This window comes from Homo sapiens, chromosome 15 (genome assembly GCF_000001405.40).
Source record: "Homo sapiens chromosome 15, GRCh38.p14 Primary Assembly".
Lineage (NCBI taxonomy): Eukaryota > Metazoa > Chordata > Mammalia > Primates > Hominidae > Homo > Homo sapiens.
The window spans coordinates 33,680,498-33,696,778 of record NC_000015.10 but is presented as its reverse complement, the minus strand read 5'-3'; the positions used below and the strand labels follow the sequence as shown (position 1 = coordinate 33,696,778).

Here is a 16,281-nt window from a genome sequence, read left to right as displayed (position 1 = left end):
TCCCTTCCTCCAGATGTTTTCATGGGCTCCCTGGGGCTATTTTCAAAAGATTAAAATCAAGTAACTGCTTTTCCCCAAGACTCCTCCATACTTTTAGCAATGCCTTTCACTGTGAGTAGTTGGGTCTCTCAGGTTGCAAAGGATATGACTCCATGAGGAGTGAAATTGGAATCAGTTCACACAAAGATTTAATATGATTTGATTCCACTATATCTCTATATCAAGGTAAGTCAGTTTTCCCACTTAAAGCTCCTAGAGAGAACAGCACGTAACCGTGAATCACCTACCCCAGCCCATTGATCATGAGCAACTCCTCTTCCTTGCCCATCCTGACACTGAGGAGGGAGCGGATTTGGCCCAGGGCAGCCAGCAGGTTGATGGTGTCGCTTACAGAGGTGTGGCTGATGGTGTAGGTCTTCCGCAGCGCCTGCAGCAGCTCCCCAATGCTGTCATACTGCCTCCGGAGGAGGTTGAACATCATTCGGACCAGCTCTGAATCCTGGATCTGGTCCTCCTGGGCCCAGCAGATCATCGTCTGTGAGATGAGTTCCTTCAATGTTGCTGGAAGGACAACAGGAGGGAGCAGGACTGTGGCTGTCATGGCTCAGGGAGAGCTGGGTGTTTCAGCCACTTCATGCAAATAGAAGACACATCATTGGTTGAGGTTACAAAATTCTTATTATAGGCAATGTGCAGTGGCTCATGCCTATAATCCTAGCAATTTGGGAGGCTGAGGCTGAAGGATTTCTTGAGCCTAGCAGTTTGAGACCAGCCTGGGCCACAAAGCGAGACCCTGTTGCTACCAAAAAAAAAAAAAAAAAAAAAAAAAAAGCTGGGTGTGGTTGCACACGCCTGTAGTCAGCTGCTTGGGAGGCTGAGGTGGGAGGACTGCTTGAGCCTTGGAGGTTGAGGGTGCGGTAAGCCACCACTGCATCACTGCACTGCAGCCTGGGCAACAGAGTGAGACTCTGTCTCAAAAAAAAAAATTTTTTTTTTGTATTTTAAGGGTGGGTTATGACATGCACAGAAGTAGAATATATCATCAAAAGACAAATAAACCGGCTATATAACAATAAAAGAATATCCCAATTATGAGTTGAGGGTGCTAACTATTCTATTTTGATTAAACAATACTTGCATCCACACTGGGCTGAGAGAACAGATCTAAAGGCTTTACAACGGGACATCTGAGCATCATCCTAAAGTCTGAACAGCCTTTTTTTGCACTGGATCTTTGGCAAGAGTCAGCTGACACTGCATCTTGGACTCCTCTCATAAGCATCAAGAGAAAAAAACCACAGTGACTTTGAATTCAGAATTTATTGGGGCTCATACTGGTTTTACGGAAATTTTACTGTCTATACAAGTAAAGGAAAGATCACTGAACTGGGACTCAAAACAGCTGTGGAACCTTCAGAGGTTATACTAAAAAGCCCCTGAAAATTGCTGATTGGCATTGGCATAGGAGGTAAAGGAGGAAGGGGACCTGTTGGAATGGCCGGGAAGGCACTGCTTACCCCTTCCCTTACCATCCACACTTCCAGAAGATGACAGAGGTGAGACATGCTGCTCTTAAATCACAAATGCATCCTACCCTGGCACTGCATATCACAGTCCTACAAGGTATGGATGGCAGGAAGATCCTTAATTCAGGCCAGGCAGTGCCAAGGGGACAATGAAGGTCACTCAGTCAATCAGTGAAAGAAAGGGGAGTAAACAGATCAGTGCTTCTGGTAGCCCGTGGCATCTCTAATAGTTGAGGTTTCTACTCCACATCACTATAGATGGCAGATGTCTGCTCTATATACAGTCTTGGCTCATCGTAAGGATATAAAAATAGAACTCAGTTACCAAGCTTTAAAAGAGACCTAGATGTAATGGATTAATTTAACTTACTGCTGTGTCTATCAACCCTGTCGGTGTGTTAGATTCAGATGGGACACATAAACTGAGAACCTTAAAAAAGGACACCCAAGTCAGAGAGAAGCACAGTTAAAGGATGTTCTCAAGAGACCTCACTAGGCAGGGACTGCAGACTAATACCTGTTAGGTTAGATAATATCTGTATCCTCTAGGGGCAAAGTCATTTAAGGGCTATGCTGGGCTCCTTGTCAGAAACCTGTTTCCTCAGAGTCCAAATATAAAAGTTCCTGCATCTCCTGGTTAATTCACATGTATATATTTTGGAGGAGAAACCCTAATTTTATTGTCTGTCATATTATTCAAAAAAATCTAGGCCAGGCGCAGTGGCTCACGCCTGTAATCCCAGCACTTTGGGAGGCCGAGGTGGGTGGATCACGAGGTCAGGAGAAGGAGACTATCCTGGCTAACACGGTGAAACCCCGTCTCTACTAAAAATACAAAAAATTAACCGGGCGTGATGGAGGGCGCCTGTAGTCCCAGCTACTCGGGAGGCTGAGGCAGGAGAATGGCGTGAACCCGGGAGGCGGAGCTTGCAGTGAGCTGAGATTGCACCACTGCACTCCAGCTGGGCGACAGACCAAGACTCCGTCTTGAAAAAAAAAAAACAAAAACTAGTAATAATAGATTTGTACAGAAAAAAGCAAATGAATAGTAAATGAGAGCACAAAAGAAATAATTTAAATTTGCTATTTTTTTTCCATGATATTAGGATGATAGTGCCTGGCTTCATGGTAGGATTTGTTCGCTGGCCAAAGCCTGCCAGAAAACTAGGGCTTTCAGTGTCTGTCTACTCTGCTGGTCCTTGACAAAACTTTTGAGATTTTCAAGAAAAGTAACGTCCTCCTGGTGCTCCGGAACTGTGCTGAGCTCCACCAACCCATCCACAAAAGCGTTTCCACCCCTTTGTCCTCAAAGAAATAATACAGGGCCTAGTCCGGGCACTCTGTGTTGAGTGTGTACTAGTGCCCTAACATCCAGACTTGCCATTGGACTGAAAGCTAACATCCTTGATGGAGAAAATGTTACTCTCCACCTGCTCTTGTCCAAACTCATCCTCTGATAGTGACAGTCAGCACCAGGACCTTCTTGCTATCATTCTTCATAACTTCAACTATGAAAGTGGGAGTTGATGTCAATTCAGAATCCTATTCTGCAACCTACAGCCCTTGGGAGGGCTCCTCCTCACCACCAGATGTGTGTGGGATGCTGTTGATAATGTTGAAAGTGACAGAGATCTTTCCCCTGGCAACTTGCCACGCTAATTTAGCTTCTGTTCCATTTAAATTCTAGCTCCCAACTTCCAGACCTCTTAGGGAGGGAATGCCTCTTATGCTTCTCGATTTCCCTTTCCTCCTTAATTTCATCACTCAGGAATTCAACAGAAGCTTTGTCTCCTTTGGTGTGCAGTGCACAGCCGCTGTAGCCCCAGGCACAGGGCGTAGGAGGGCCTAGGAGGCCCCAGGAGGCCAGGCTGCCATGCAGACCCCATACACATGCACACTGAGCAGCGCAAAGGGCCGGGCACAGGACCTGGGCGCTGCTGGAGTGGTGGCGCAGGCATGGTAGCATGGAGGGCAGCAACTGCAGAGCCCGGGGCACCAGGCATGCAGCATCACAGAGGCGACCACCAATACGTATGGATGCACTCCTAGTTATTACTTACGTAGTAAGAAGGAAAGCAAGACAAAAACAAAGACTCTTGGACCCAATTTAAGTTTTTCTAGTCCCGTCAGTACAATTTCCTCTAAAACCTATACCTTGGCTTGAAAGAATTATAGTTCTCACGACTAACAAAACAATTCTCTGCAGATATAATACATGCTATCCCAGTCCCTGCCACACTGGAAAAGCAATAATCAGATCTGGTGGAATTGCTAACCTGCTCAAGGACCATCTTCTCTTCAACAGAGAATTTTACAGAATCATAATAAAACCAAGTACATATGAGTTTCCTTTAACCTGGCTTTCAGATTAATTCAGGATTTGGGTAAGCTCTTAGCCTCACACTGACTCAAAAATCCAAACAAATATTTATGGCCTAGAGAGCATGTAAAGCAAAACACCTCACTAGAGGGCAAAATGGGAAAGAAAACACCCTTTTAGCCTCAAAGCATGAAGCAGCAAACACCTGCCACTCCATTCTTTGTCCAGGCAAGCCTTCAAAGTAAGTGTCAGAGAACGGGATAAATATTTATGTGTGACCAAGCTGAAGTACAGTTAAAAAAAAAAAAAAAAAGTAGTCCCCAGGTCCTGCCAGAAAAGGAGGCAAGACTTACCGCTGTGTTGCTGACAGGCAGATGTAATTCCATGGAAGGCCTGACATTTAAAGCCATATGTACTGGAAAATGTTTCAAATTGTGAGACCAAGGTGCAGTAAGTGAGAGAAACAATAACTATGAAAAGAAATAAAATTCAGGGGGAGAGGGGCAGAAGGGGACATTTTCAGGAGCCATGAAAAGCACAACATATTTTGTCATCTGACATATACTAGAGACCCAGGACCCACCAAGCAAACCCAGGCACAACCAATGAACTTCTCAAGGTCTAAACACTTTTGGGATGGAGAAAATGGAGCTTTATACCCCTAGCAAGCAATGCTACTAAAAATTCTTCAGATTTTAATTAGCTCCCGTGCATCAGCAGCAGAGCAGCCAAAACATACCAGAGTCCAGAAGTTAAAAAGAATACATTTTCTAGATTGTGTTAGGCTCTCCATATACCTGTATATCTGATGATTAAAGTAATTAATGCATATAACCATGGATGGCACATACTGCAGGTTTAATAAAGGTGAACTATTACTGACATCTCTACCAAGAGTCATAAAAATGTGATCTGCAGAGCCCTGGGGGCCCAAGACCCTTTAGATACCCTTTAAGTCCAAATGTGTTTTCATAAAAATTCTAAGATATTGTTGGCCTTTTTCATCGTGTTGATAATTGCACTGATGGTGCAAAAGCAATGCTGAGTAAAACTGCTTGTGCCTTAGCTTGAATCGAGTTAGCAGCACCCAACTATATTTTTTATTGCCACACTTCCAGATAAATGCGTTTCACAGAAGGATGTCCTGAATAAAGCAGTAAAAATTATTAATTTTATTAATCATAAACTCTCGAGTTTACATCTTTAAAATATCCTCTGTGATAGAATGGTACAGAGAAAGAAAAGAAGTAAAGCACTTCTGCTATGTATTAAAGTTCAGTGTTTTTTTCTGGAGGAAAAGTACTTGTGTGATGGAGTTGTGAGCTGAACTAGCTGCTTATTTCATGAATGCCATTTTTAATTAAAGAATAAGAAACTATGGTTAACTTGAACAAATGAAAAAAATGAAATGAAAAAAATGAAAAAAGTAAGCCTTTCACTTCAAGTGATAGTATTTGTTGCCAATAATGAAATTTGACCTTTCAAGTGAAAATCAGAATTTTGAAAAATGTTTAGCTGCCACTGGGAGCTCGACAGCTTCCCAGTACTTAAAGACTTTTCTGATTAACCTGTCTATACTAACAAATGTGATTTTTAAACTATTTTATAATGAAATGTGTCAAGATTTTGAAGTTCTTATTAACTCAACGAACCAATAATCTCTCAATGATCAATGAATGACATTACAAAAACATTCTTAGGTAAAAGATCCATTCAATGTGCAAGATAGACCAATGAATTGTTACATAACAAAGTACAGACATCTAGTTAATATGGTTTCAGATTCCACATGCCAACTAACTTTTCAGAAACTACTACTTGTTCAGATATAGTTTTACAGAAGAATATCCATAATTATTGGAAAAGGCTATGAAAAATACTACTACCCTTCCAATTATGTATTTAAGGCCATTTTTCTTCCTATTCTTTAACCAGATATAAGAATCCAGCTGCCTTCAATTAAGTCAGACATTAAAGAGATTTATAATCATGCAAAGAAATATCACTTTGTTTTGAAAAATTTAGTTTTCATAAAAGTATCTTTATGTAACATGTAATAAGGTTTTTATTTTTAAATTAATAAATATTTAAATATTTGTCAATTTTAATTTTAAATTTGGTAAACACTGATAGATATAATCCACATAAACTAAAGCTTTTGGGGTTCTCAGTAATTTTCAATAGTGTAAAGGGGTCCCAAGACCAAAGGGTTTGAGAACCACGGATCTATATAAAAGGGCCTATGCTGAAGTGAGGCTGTGATTGGAAACCAAAGCTTTCCCTCCAGCTAAGATGAAACCTGTTCCATTAGGCTGCATGATTCTGATCAAGTAGCTGAGACATGAACCTAGAAAGCTACAGATGAGGAAGCTTTCCATGTTTACTTCTGAATGGGAGGCAGGTATGTACGAGATTAAATGTGAGCATCTCACGTAAGAAGAATATCTCATGTAAGAAGAGTATCTCATATAAGAAGAGTAAGACACCTCACATTGAGAAATAAAGTGAGGATTAAAGAATCATTATTTTGAAAATTGAATCCTGGCAGTCAAGGGCCCTGGCTATTATTCATTCATCACCAAAGGGCAACCTGCTAGCCTGAAGGGCTCCTAATGCTTTTTTTCTCCTGAATTTGGGCTTAAGAACAGTCATCTTCTAAGCAAGGAGGGAGCCAGGCTTGTATTATGCTGAGGCTGCATGGCTTTCTTCAGCCCGCTCTGCACACGCACAAAGGTGGGCTGCAGGCTGGAGAGGGAGGCACTTAACTCTTTGTCCCCAACATTAGCTGATCCTTCAGCAATGACTTTGCTCTTATTAATACTGGAAACCAGAGCTGTCAACTATAGAAGGCTTTGCCCTGAAGTTGATATGTGTCCAGGACTCAGGACGTACACCAATTCACAAGTTTCTGCCTATCTTCATCTGAATAGCTGAATTAACTCCAGTCGTGCCACCTCTAAGTTAGCTTTTAACTGACCAGCATTTTCTGGGTATCTGTTACATGCCCAAGGTTAAGTACTCTACAAGAAACTATTTCAAGACACAATTATTACCCACTACAGCCTAGTTGGAGAAACTAACACATGTGAGGCATTTAATAAAAAATAAAGTGTAAAATAATGAGTAAAACTGTGTTGTCTCAGACAATTAGGAAATAAGACAATTCATAAGAAGGTATAACTCCTATAGTAACACATATATTCAAAAGAAACTAGAGAAGAGAAACAATAAGATCTCCCTCTTTTCTTCCAATGGCTTTTTTTATCTGAAGTTTTTTATATTTCTAGAATAAGCCTCCATTACATGGAGACTAAAGAAGCAGGGAAGAAAAAGCTCTATCAGGAAGTTAAAAGAGGGGCCTTCCAAGTGATACCAGAAATGATCTGATGAAAAAGACATTATGCTTTGCTATGATTATTTTGGAATGCTATGTTCCTTAGAGAGATGATTCATACATAAAGTACCTGTATGTGTGTGTGCATCTGTGTGTATGTGTGCATGTGTGTGTACATATATATATAGTATCCATGGGAGAATGCTGACAATTTTGGTAGGATTTTTTTTTTAAATTTAAGTTATAGGGTACATGTGCATAACATGCAGGTTTGATACATAGGTATACATGTGCCATGTTGGTGTGCTGCACCCATCAACTCGTCATTTACATTAGGTATTTCTCCTAATGCTATCCCTCCCCCCTCCCCCACCCCACAACAGGCCCCGGTGTGTGATGTTCCCCACCCTGTGTCCAAGGGTTCTCATTGTTCAATTCCTACCTATGAGTGAGAACATGGAGTGTTTGGTTTTCTGTCCTTGTGATAGTTTGCTGGGAATGGTTTCCAGCTTCATCCATGTCTCTGCAAAGGACATGAACTCATCCTTTTTTATGGCTGCATAGTATTTCATGGTGTTTATGTGCCACATTTTCTTAATCTAGTCTATCATTGATGGACATTTGGGTTGGTTCCAAGTCTTTGCTATTGTGAATAGTGCTGCAATAAACATATGTGCGCATGTGTCTTTATAGTAGCATGACTTATAATCCTTTGGGTATATACCCAGTAATGGGATTGCCGGATCAAATGGTATTTCTAGTTCTAGATCCTTGAGGAATTGCCACACTGTCTTCCACAATGGTTGAACTACTTTACACTTCCACCAACAGTGTAAAAGCATCCCTGTTTCTCCACATCCTCTCCAGCATCTGTTGTTTCCTGACTTTTTAATGATCGCCATTCTAACTGGCACGAGATGATATTTCATTGTGGTTTTGATTTGCATTTCTCTGATGACCAGTGATGATGAACACTTTTCCATGTGTCTGTTAGCTGCATAAATGTCTTTTTTTTTTTTTTTTTTTGAGATGGAGTCTCGCTCTGTCGCCCAGGCTGGAGTGCAGTGGCGCAATCTTGGCTCACTGCAAGCTCCACCTCCCGGGTCCACGCCATTCTCCTGCCTCAGCCTCCCAAGTAGCTGGGACTACAGGTGCCCGCCACCACGCCTGGCTAATTTTTTGTATTTTTAGTAGAGACGGGGTTTCACCATGTTATCCAGGATGGTCTCGATCTCCTGTCTCGTGATCTGCCCTGCCTCAGCCTCCCAAAGTGCTGGGATTACAGGTGTGAGCCACCGTGCCCAGCCCCCCATAAATGTCTTCTTTTGAGAAGTGTCTGTTCATATCCTTTGCCCATTTTTTTGATGGGGTTGTTTTTTTTCTTGTAAATCTGTTTGAGTTCTTTGTAAATTCTGGATATTAGCCCTTTGTCAGATGAGTAGATTGCAAAATTTTTCTCCCATTCTGTAGGTTGCCTGTTCACTCTGATGGTAGTTTCTTTTGCTGTGCAGAAGCTCTTGAGTTTAATTAGATCCCATTTGTCTATTTTGGCTTTTGTTGCTATTGCTTTTGGTGTTTTAGTCATGAAGTCCTTACCCATGCTTACGTCCTGAATGGTATTGCCTAGGTTTTCTTCTACGGTTTTTATGGTTTTAGGTCTAACATTTAAGTCTTTAATCCATCTTGAATTGATTTTTGTCTAAGGTGTAAGGAAGGGATCCAGTTTCAGCTTTCTACATATGGCTAGCCAGTTTTCCCAGCACCATTTATTAAATAGGGAATCCTTTCCCCATTTCCTGTTTTTGTCAGGTTTGTCAAAGATCAGATGGTTGTAGATGTGTGGTGTTATTTCTGAGGCCTCTGTTCTGTTCCATTGGTCTATATATCTGTTTTGGTACCAGCACCATGCTGTTTTGGTTACTGCAGCCTTGTAGTATAGTTTGAAATCAGTAGTGTGATGCCTCCAGCTTAGTTCTTTTTCCTTAGGACTGTCTTGGCAATGTGGGCTCTTTTTTGGTTCCATATTAACTTTAAAGTAGTTTTTTCCAATTCTGTGAAGAAAGTCATTGGTAGCTTGATGGGGATGGCATCGAATCTACAAATTACCTTGGGCAGTATGGCCATTTTCATGATACTGATTCTTCCTATCCATGAGCATGGAATGTTCTTCCATTTGTTTGTGTCCTCTTTCATTTCATTGAGCAGTGGTTTGTAGTTCTCCTTGAAGAGGTCCTTCACATCCCTTGTAAGTTGGATTCCTAGGTATTTTATTCTCTTTGTAGCAATTGCGAATGGGAGTTCACTCATGATTTGGCTGTTTGTCTGTTATTGGTGTATAGGAATGCTTGTGATTTTTACACATGGATTTTGTATCCTGAGACTTTGCTGAAGTTGCTTATCAGGTTAAGGAGATTTTGGGCTGAGATGATGGGGTTTTCTAAATATACAATCATGTCATTGGCAAACAGGGACAATTTGACTTCCTCTTTTCCTAATTGAATACCCTTTATTTCTTTCTCTTGCCTGATTGGCCTGGCCAGAACTTCTAACACTATGTTGAATAGGCGTGGTGAGAGAGGGCATCCCTGTCTTGTGCCGATTTTCAAAGGGAATGCTTCCAGTTTCTGCCCATTATGATATTGGCTGTGGGTTTGTCATAGACAGCTCTTATTATTTTGAGATAAGGCCCATCAACACCTAGTTTATTGAGAGTTTTTAGCATGAAGCGCTGTTGAATTTTGTCGAAGGCTTTTCTGCATCTATTGAGATAATCATGTGGTTTTTGTCTTTGGTTCTGTTTATGTGATGGATTACATTTATTGATTTCTGTATGTTGAACCAGCCTTGCATCCCAGGGATGAAGCCAACTTGATTGGATAAGCTTTTTGATGTGTTACTGGATTCAGTTTGCCAGTATTTTATTGAGGATGTTGGCATCAGTGTTCATCAGGGGTATTGGTCTAAAGTTCTCTTTTTTTGTTGTGTCTCTGCCAGGCTTTGGTAGCAGGATGATGCTGGCCTCATAAAATGAGTAAGGGAGGATTCCCTCTTTTTCTATTCATTGGAATAGTTTCCAAAGGAATCGTACCAGCTCCTCTTTGTACCTCTGGTAGAATTCGGCTGTGAATTCGTCTGGTCCTGGACTTTTTTTGGTTGGTAGGCTATTAATTATTACCTCAATTTCAGAGCCTGTTATTGGTCTATTCAGAGATTCAACTTCTCCTGGTGTAGTCTTGGGAGGGTGTACGTGTCCAGGAAGTAATCCATTTCTTCTAGATTTTCTAGTTTATTTGCGTAGAAGTGTTTATAGTATTCTCTGATGGTAGTTTGTATTTCTGTGCGATTGGTGGTGATATCATCCCCTTTACGATTTTTTATTGCGTCTATTTGATTCTTCTCTCTTTTCTTATTAATCTTGCTAGCGGTCTATCTTTTCAAAAAACCAGCTCCTGGATTGATTTTTTTGAAGGGTTTTTTGTGTCTCTTATCTCCTTCAGTTCTGCTCTGATCTTAGTTATTTCTTGCCTTCTGCTAGCTTTTGAATGTGTTTGCTCTTGCTTCTCTAGTTCTTCTAATTGTGATGTTAGGGTGTTGATTTTAGATCTTTCCTGCTTTCTCTTGTGGGCATTTAGTGCTATAAATTTCCCTCTACACACTGCTTTAAATGTGTCCCAGAGATTCTGGTATGTTGTGTCTTTGTTCTCATTGGTTTCAAAGAACATCGTTATTTCTGCTTTAATTTCGTTATTTACCCAGTAGTCATTGAGGAGCAGATTGTTCGGTTTCCATGTAGTTGTGCGGTTTTGAGTGAGTTTCTTAATCCTGAATTCTAATTTGATTGCACTGTGGTCTTAGAGACAGTTTGTTGTGATTTCTGTTCTTTTACATTTGCTGAGGAGTGCATTATTTCCAATTATGTGGTCACTTTTGGAATAAGTGCAATGTGGTGCTGAGAAGAATGTATATTCTGTTGATTTGGGGTAGAGAGTTCTGTAGATGTCTATTATGTACGCTTGGTGCAGAGCTGAGTTCAATTCCTGGATATCCTTGTTAACTTTCTGTCTCGTTGATCTAATATTGACAGTGGGGTGTTAAAGTCTCCCATTATTATTGTGTGGGAGTCTAAGTCTCTTTGTAGGTCTCTAAGGACTTGCTTTATGAATCTGGGTGCTCCTGTATTGGGTGCATATATATTTAGGATAGTTAGCTCTTCTTGTTGAATTGATCCCTTTACCATTATGTATTGGCCTTCTTTGTCTCTTTTGATCTTTGTTGGTTTAAAGTCTGTTTTATCAGAGACTAGGATTGCAACCCCTGCTTTTTATTGCTTTCCATTTGCTCGGTAGATCTTCCTCCATCCCTTTGTTTTGAGCCTATGTGTGTCTCTGCACGTGAAATGGGTCTCCCGAATACAGCACACTGATGGGTCTTGACTCTTTATCCAATTTGCCAGTCTAGATCTTTTAATTGGGGCATTTAGCCCATTTACATTTAAAGTTAATATTGTCATGTGTGAATTTGATCCTGTCATTATGATGTTAGCTGGTTATTTTGCCTGTTAATTGATACAGTTTCTTCATAGCATCAATGGTCTTTACAATTTGGCATGTTTTTGCAGTGGCTGGTACTGGTTGTTCCTTTCCATGTTTAGTGCTTCCTTCAGGAGCTCTTGTAAGGCGGGCCTGGCAGTGACAAAATCTCTCAGCATTTCCTTGTCTATAAAGGATTTTGTTTCTCCTTCAGTTATGAAGCTTAGTTTGGCTGGAATGAAATTCTGGGTTGAAAAGTCTTTAAGAATGTTGAATATTGGCCCCCACCCTCTTCTGGCTTGCAGGGTTTCTGCTGAGAGATCCATTGTTAGTCTAATGGGCTTCCCTTTGTGGGTAACGCAACCTTTCTCTCTGGCTGCCCTTTATATTTTTTCCTTCATTTCAACCTTGGTCAGTCTGATGATTATGTGTCTTGGGGTTGCTCTTCTCGAGGAATATCTTTGTGGTGTTCTCTGTATTTCCTGAATTTGATTGTTGGCCTGCCTTGCTACATTGGGGAAGTTTTCCTGGATAATCATCTTTGTGGTTTTATCTACCTTTGGTCTTTGATGCTGGTGACCTACAGATGGGGTTTTGGTGTGGATGTCCTTTTTTTTAATGTTGATGCTATTCTTTTCTGTTTGTTAATTCTCCTTCTAAGAGTCAGGTCCCTCAGCTGCAGGTCTGTTGGAGTTTGCTAGAGGTTCACTCCAGACTCTGTTTGCCTGGGTATCACCAGTGGAGGCTGCAGAACAGCAAATATTGCTGCCTGATCCTTCCTCTAGAAACTTCATCCCAGAGGGGCACCCTGCCTATATGAGGTGTGTGTTGCCCCCTACTGGGAGGTGTCTCCCAGTTAGGCTACATGGGGGTCAGGGACCCACTTGAGGAGGCAGTCTGTCCATTCTCAGAGCTCAAACACTGTGCTGGGAGAACCACTGCTCTCTTCGGAGCTGTCAGACAGGGACATTTAAGTCTGCAGAAGTTGTCTGCTGCCTTTTGTTCAGCTATGCCCTGCTCACAGAGGTGGAGTGTATAGAGGCAGTAGGCCTTGCTGAGCTGTGGTGGGCTCTGCCCAGTTCGAGCTTCCTGGCTGCTTCGTTTACCTACTCAAGCCTCAGCAATGGCAGACGCCCCTCTTCCTGCCAGGCTGCCGCCTTGCAATTCGATCTCAGACTGCTGCTCCAGCAGTGAGCAAGGCTCCGTGGGCCTGGGACCCGCTGAGGCAGGCACAGGAGAGAATCTCCTTGTCTGCCAGTTGCTAAGACCTTGGGAAAAGCGCAGTATTTGGGCGGAAGTTTCTCCTTTTTCCAGGTACAGTCTGTCACGGCTTCCCGTGGCTAGGAAAGGGAAATCCCCCGACCCCTTGTGCTTCCTGGGTGAGGTGATGCCCCACCCTGCTTTGGCTCACCCTCCATGGGCTGCACGCACTGTTCAACCAGTCCCAGTGAGATGAACCAGGTACCTCATCTGGAAATGCAGAAATCACCCGTCTTCTGTGTCAATCATGCTGGGAGCTGCAGACCAGAGCTGTTCCTATTTGGCCATCTTGGAATGGACTCCCCAATTTTGGTAGGATTTTCAAACAGCAATGGAGGGACTTATTTCTTGTGAATATACATGAATCTCTTTCATAAACAAAGAGCATTAGAGATGTTAAGAAGAGTTACAACTAAATACTGATTTTATTTCTGTTGCTTTACTGAGTTCATCTTTAGAAATGCTACCCTTTAGTGACTACAAAATACTTCAGTATTCATAAGAAACATGACTCTCGGCTGGGCGCGGTGGCTCACACCTGTAATCCCAGCACTTTGGGAGGCCAAGGCAGGTGGATCATGAGGTCAGGAGATCGAGATCATCCTGGCAAACACAGTGAAACCCCATCTCTACTAAAAATACAAAAAATTAGCCGGGCATGGTGGCAGGCGCCTGTAGTCCCAGCTACTCGGGAGGCTGAGGAAGGAGAATGGCATGAACCCGGGAGGCGGAGCTTGCAGTGAGCCAAGATCGCGCCACTGCACTCCAGCCTGGGCAACAGAGCGAGACTCCATCTCAAAAAAAAAAAGGAAACATGACTCTCAAAGTGGGACAGCCATCAGAAGCAAGATGACATTGAGGTGAAGAGGTTAAATCTACCATTTGCCACAAGGTATGGCCCGTCTTACTCTTTCAACACACACACACATGCATGTGCACACCACTTAACCCCACTCAGAACCACCACACATAGTAAGGACGCCTCAGCAGACCTTGTTGCATCTCTAGGATTTTTATGCACTGACTTAGCAGAATCTCAAGAAGGCCTTGCCAAGTGCACTCGATGGTTCGGTTCATGGGATTACAATATACTGTTCTTTTCAAAAAGGGACAAGAAAGAAAAATATGTTGCCAGGCACATGTTTTCTGATGAGAAATAAAGCAAATGCTCTTGAACAGAATGTCTTAGGGAAGCTAGTCATGTACAGATGGTTTCCTTGATAATTATAAATGGCTTCATTTATGAGATTATTATTAACATTCTAATTCACTTCACTTTTGCAATTAGCGTAATTAGGGGTAGTCACATTAAGGCAATGATATCAAATATATGATGTATAAGCTGCATTTTAAATGATTATTCAGGCTAACTCAGAATGGAAATATTTCCAAGGCACTGTATTGTTTAGGGAGACTTGATGCCTGAGGGATATTTCAAAAAGGAAAAAAAAAAACCTACTCATTACCTAATTTTTGGACTAGTCAGACCTTTTACATAATAACAAAGAGTTAGAGGGTCTTTAAATTTGAGCTAGCCTTAGTACATCAGTTTGGAGTCCAGGTGTCACTCATTGTTAAGTTGTTTATTGCGCTCCACTTGTTGTTTTGTAACTTTCTGCTCTGACTTTAGAAACCAAGCCCACCATGTGTGACCCTTATGAGAAATTCTCTAAAGATTCACCTACCAAAGTTGGTGTAACTCCTTTTTAAATGGTAAAATAACCAGCTTTGCAATGCCAACTACCATAAAGGAAAGGTCACTTATTTTCATGGTGCAGGTTTAAATGTTTAGGCTGCAGGGGTCTGTAAATAATCTTTTATTTCTTCCTCCAAATTTAGATCACAGTCCAAGTGGCCATCACGCAATGAAGTACATTATGATCGAAGAGTGGAGGTTGGCCACTGGCAAAGCAAATCCCTGCAGCTTACAGATCTCAAACCTACGCTGGTGTTGTATCTTTGTGAGTGCTCTTAAATCTGGGTCAGTTTGGAAGAAAAAGTCATCCAATCACTTTGAGAAGAGGGAGCAAACAAAATTGCACCACACTTAGGTTACACTTAGAAAGCAATTTATAATGCTCACATTACAATGGGAAAAGAAAAATAATTATGTGCATGTAAAGGATGTACACTTATTTTTAAATTCTAAGTGATTGAAAAGTCAGCTTGTGGCATGCTGTAAATGCTCTGGAGGCATGAACAGGTGGTAGATAATTTTGAAGTGTAAAGAACAAGTGTATTTTGACCTCTACTTTATTTCTCCCAGTAGTAGACTAAATAATGTCCCTCCAACTCCCCCAAACGTCCATGTCCTAATTACCAGAACCTATGAATATGTTACCTTACAAAAGAGACTTTTCAGATGTGAAGAAGCTGGGAAAGGCATGAAATGTATATTCTCCCCTAGAAAGTCCAGAAGGAATGCAGCCCTACTAGCCTACTGTTGACTTGTGACCTCCAGAACCGTAAGAGGTAAATTTGTGTTGTTTGCAGTACCATTAAGTTTGTGATAATTTGCTATAGCAACAGTAGAAAACTAACGTACTCCAGCTGTTAAGAAAGTCTTGGGTTGAGGATGGTTAACTCTTTTCTGAGGCTACAAACCAGACTGGAGAGTCTCTGTTAGAAAGCCATGACAAATGTGCCCACAGAAACTGGGACCCAAGAGAGATACAGTCTTCTATGTATTGTTGAGGCAGCTGGAGTAAATTGCAGGGCTATTGAGGTAACTGAGGTCTGCCTGAATCTGGCTCAGAGCTCTTGAGAAGCCAGAGCTGACATTAAACACAGAAAGCACCTACTGCAGAACTGCTGTGCACCATTAGGTAACGTATGTAGATTACAGACAGCACAGTCTCCAGTTTCTAGAACACAGCTTTTCTTTTTGCCCTGTTCTCCCTCTGAAAATCACGAGCCAGAACCGGCTGCATGTCAACATTTACCCCTGAATAAATTAAAGACGCTGAAGATGTAACCATCATGCATAATGAATATTACTGACCACATACATAGCACCCGTTTGTCTCTTCTTCCTTCTTAACAGAACCCTGCTTTTGCACAGTTTTCTGCCTCTCCAACTTACAGCCTATGCTCCTCAGGAATGTAAAATGACCCAAACTTATTTCAAAAATAGACCCTGTTGACTTAAGTCAACTAGCATGTTCCATTTTCTAGGTCACACTCTGGTACACGAATTGGCCTGTGACCAAGTTTTTGTAATCAAAAGTGATCTCGGGATCCTTGCTTGCAATACCAGGGCAGGATAAACTTTCTCACTTTTCCCTTGGACACTGTAGTGCACGGATATGAGGC

The 16,281-nt window shown here is 41.7% G+C and overlaps 1 protein-coding gene and 1 pseudogene across 20 annotated transcripts in view; both read right to left on the bottom strand.

Annotated features, from left to right (window-relative positions):
* The window catches only part of RYR3 (ryanodine receptor 3), a 555,136-nt gene that overhangs the window by 169,324 nt on the left and 369,531 nt on the right, over window positions 1–16,281 (bottom strand). For all 20 annotated transcript variants that reach the window (XR_001751370.2, XR_001751371.3, NM_001036.6 and 17 more), the window contains one exon: window positions 288–561. Coding sequence is in view for 18 of the 20 variants with exons in the window: in NM_001036.6 (NP_001027.3) it covers window positions 288–561 (274 nt within the window). In the remaining 2 variants the exon portion in view is untranslated. The remainder of the gene's footprint in view (window positions 1–287; window positions 562–16,281) is intronic.
* Window positions 2,528–3,568, bottom strand: C1QBPP3 (complement C1q binding protein pseudogene 3; annotated as a pseudogene).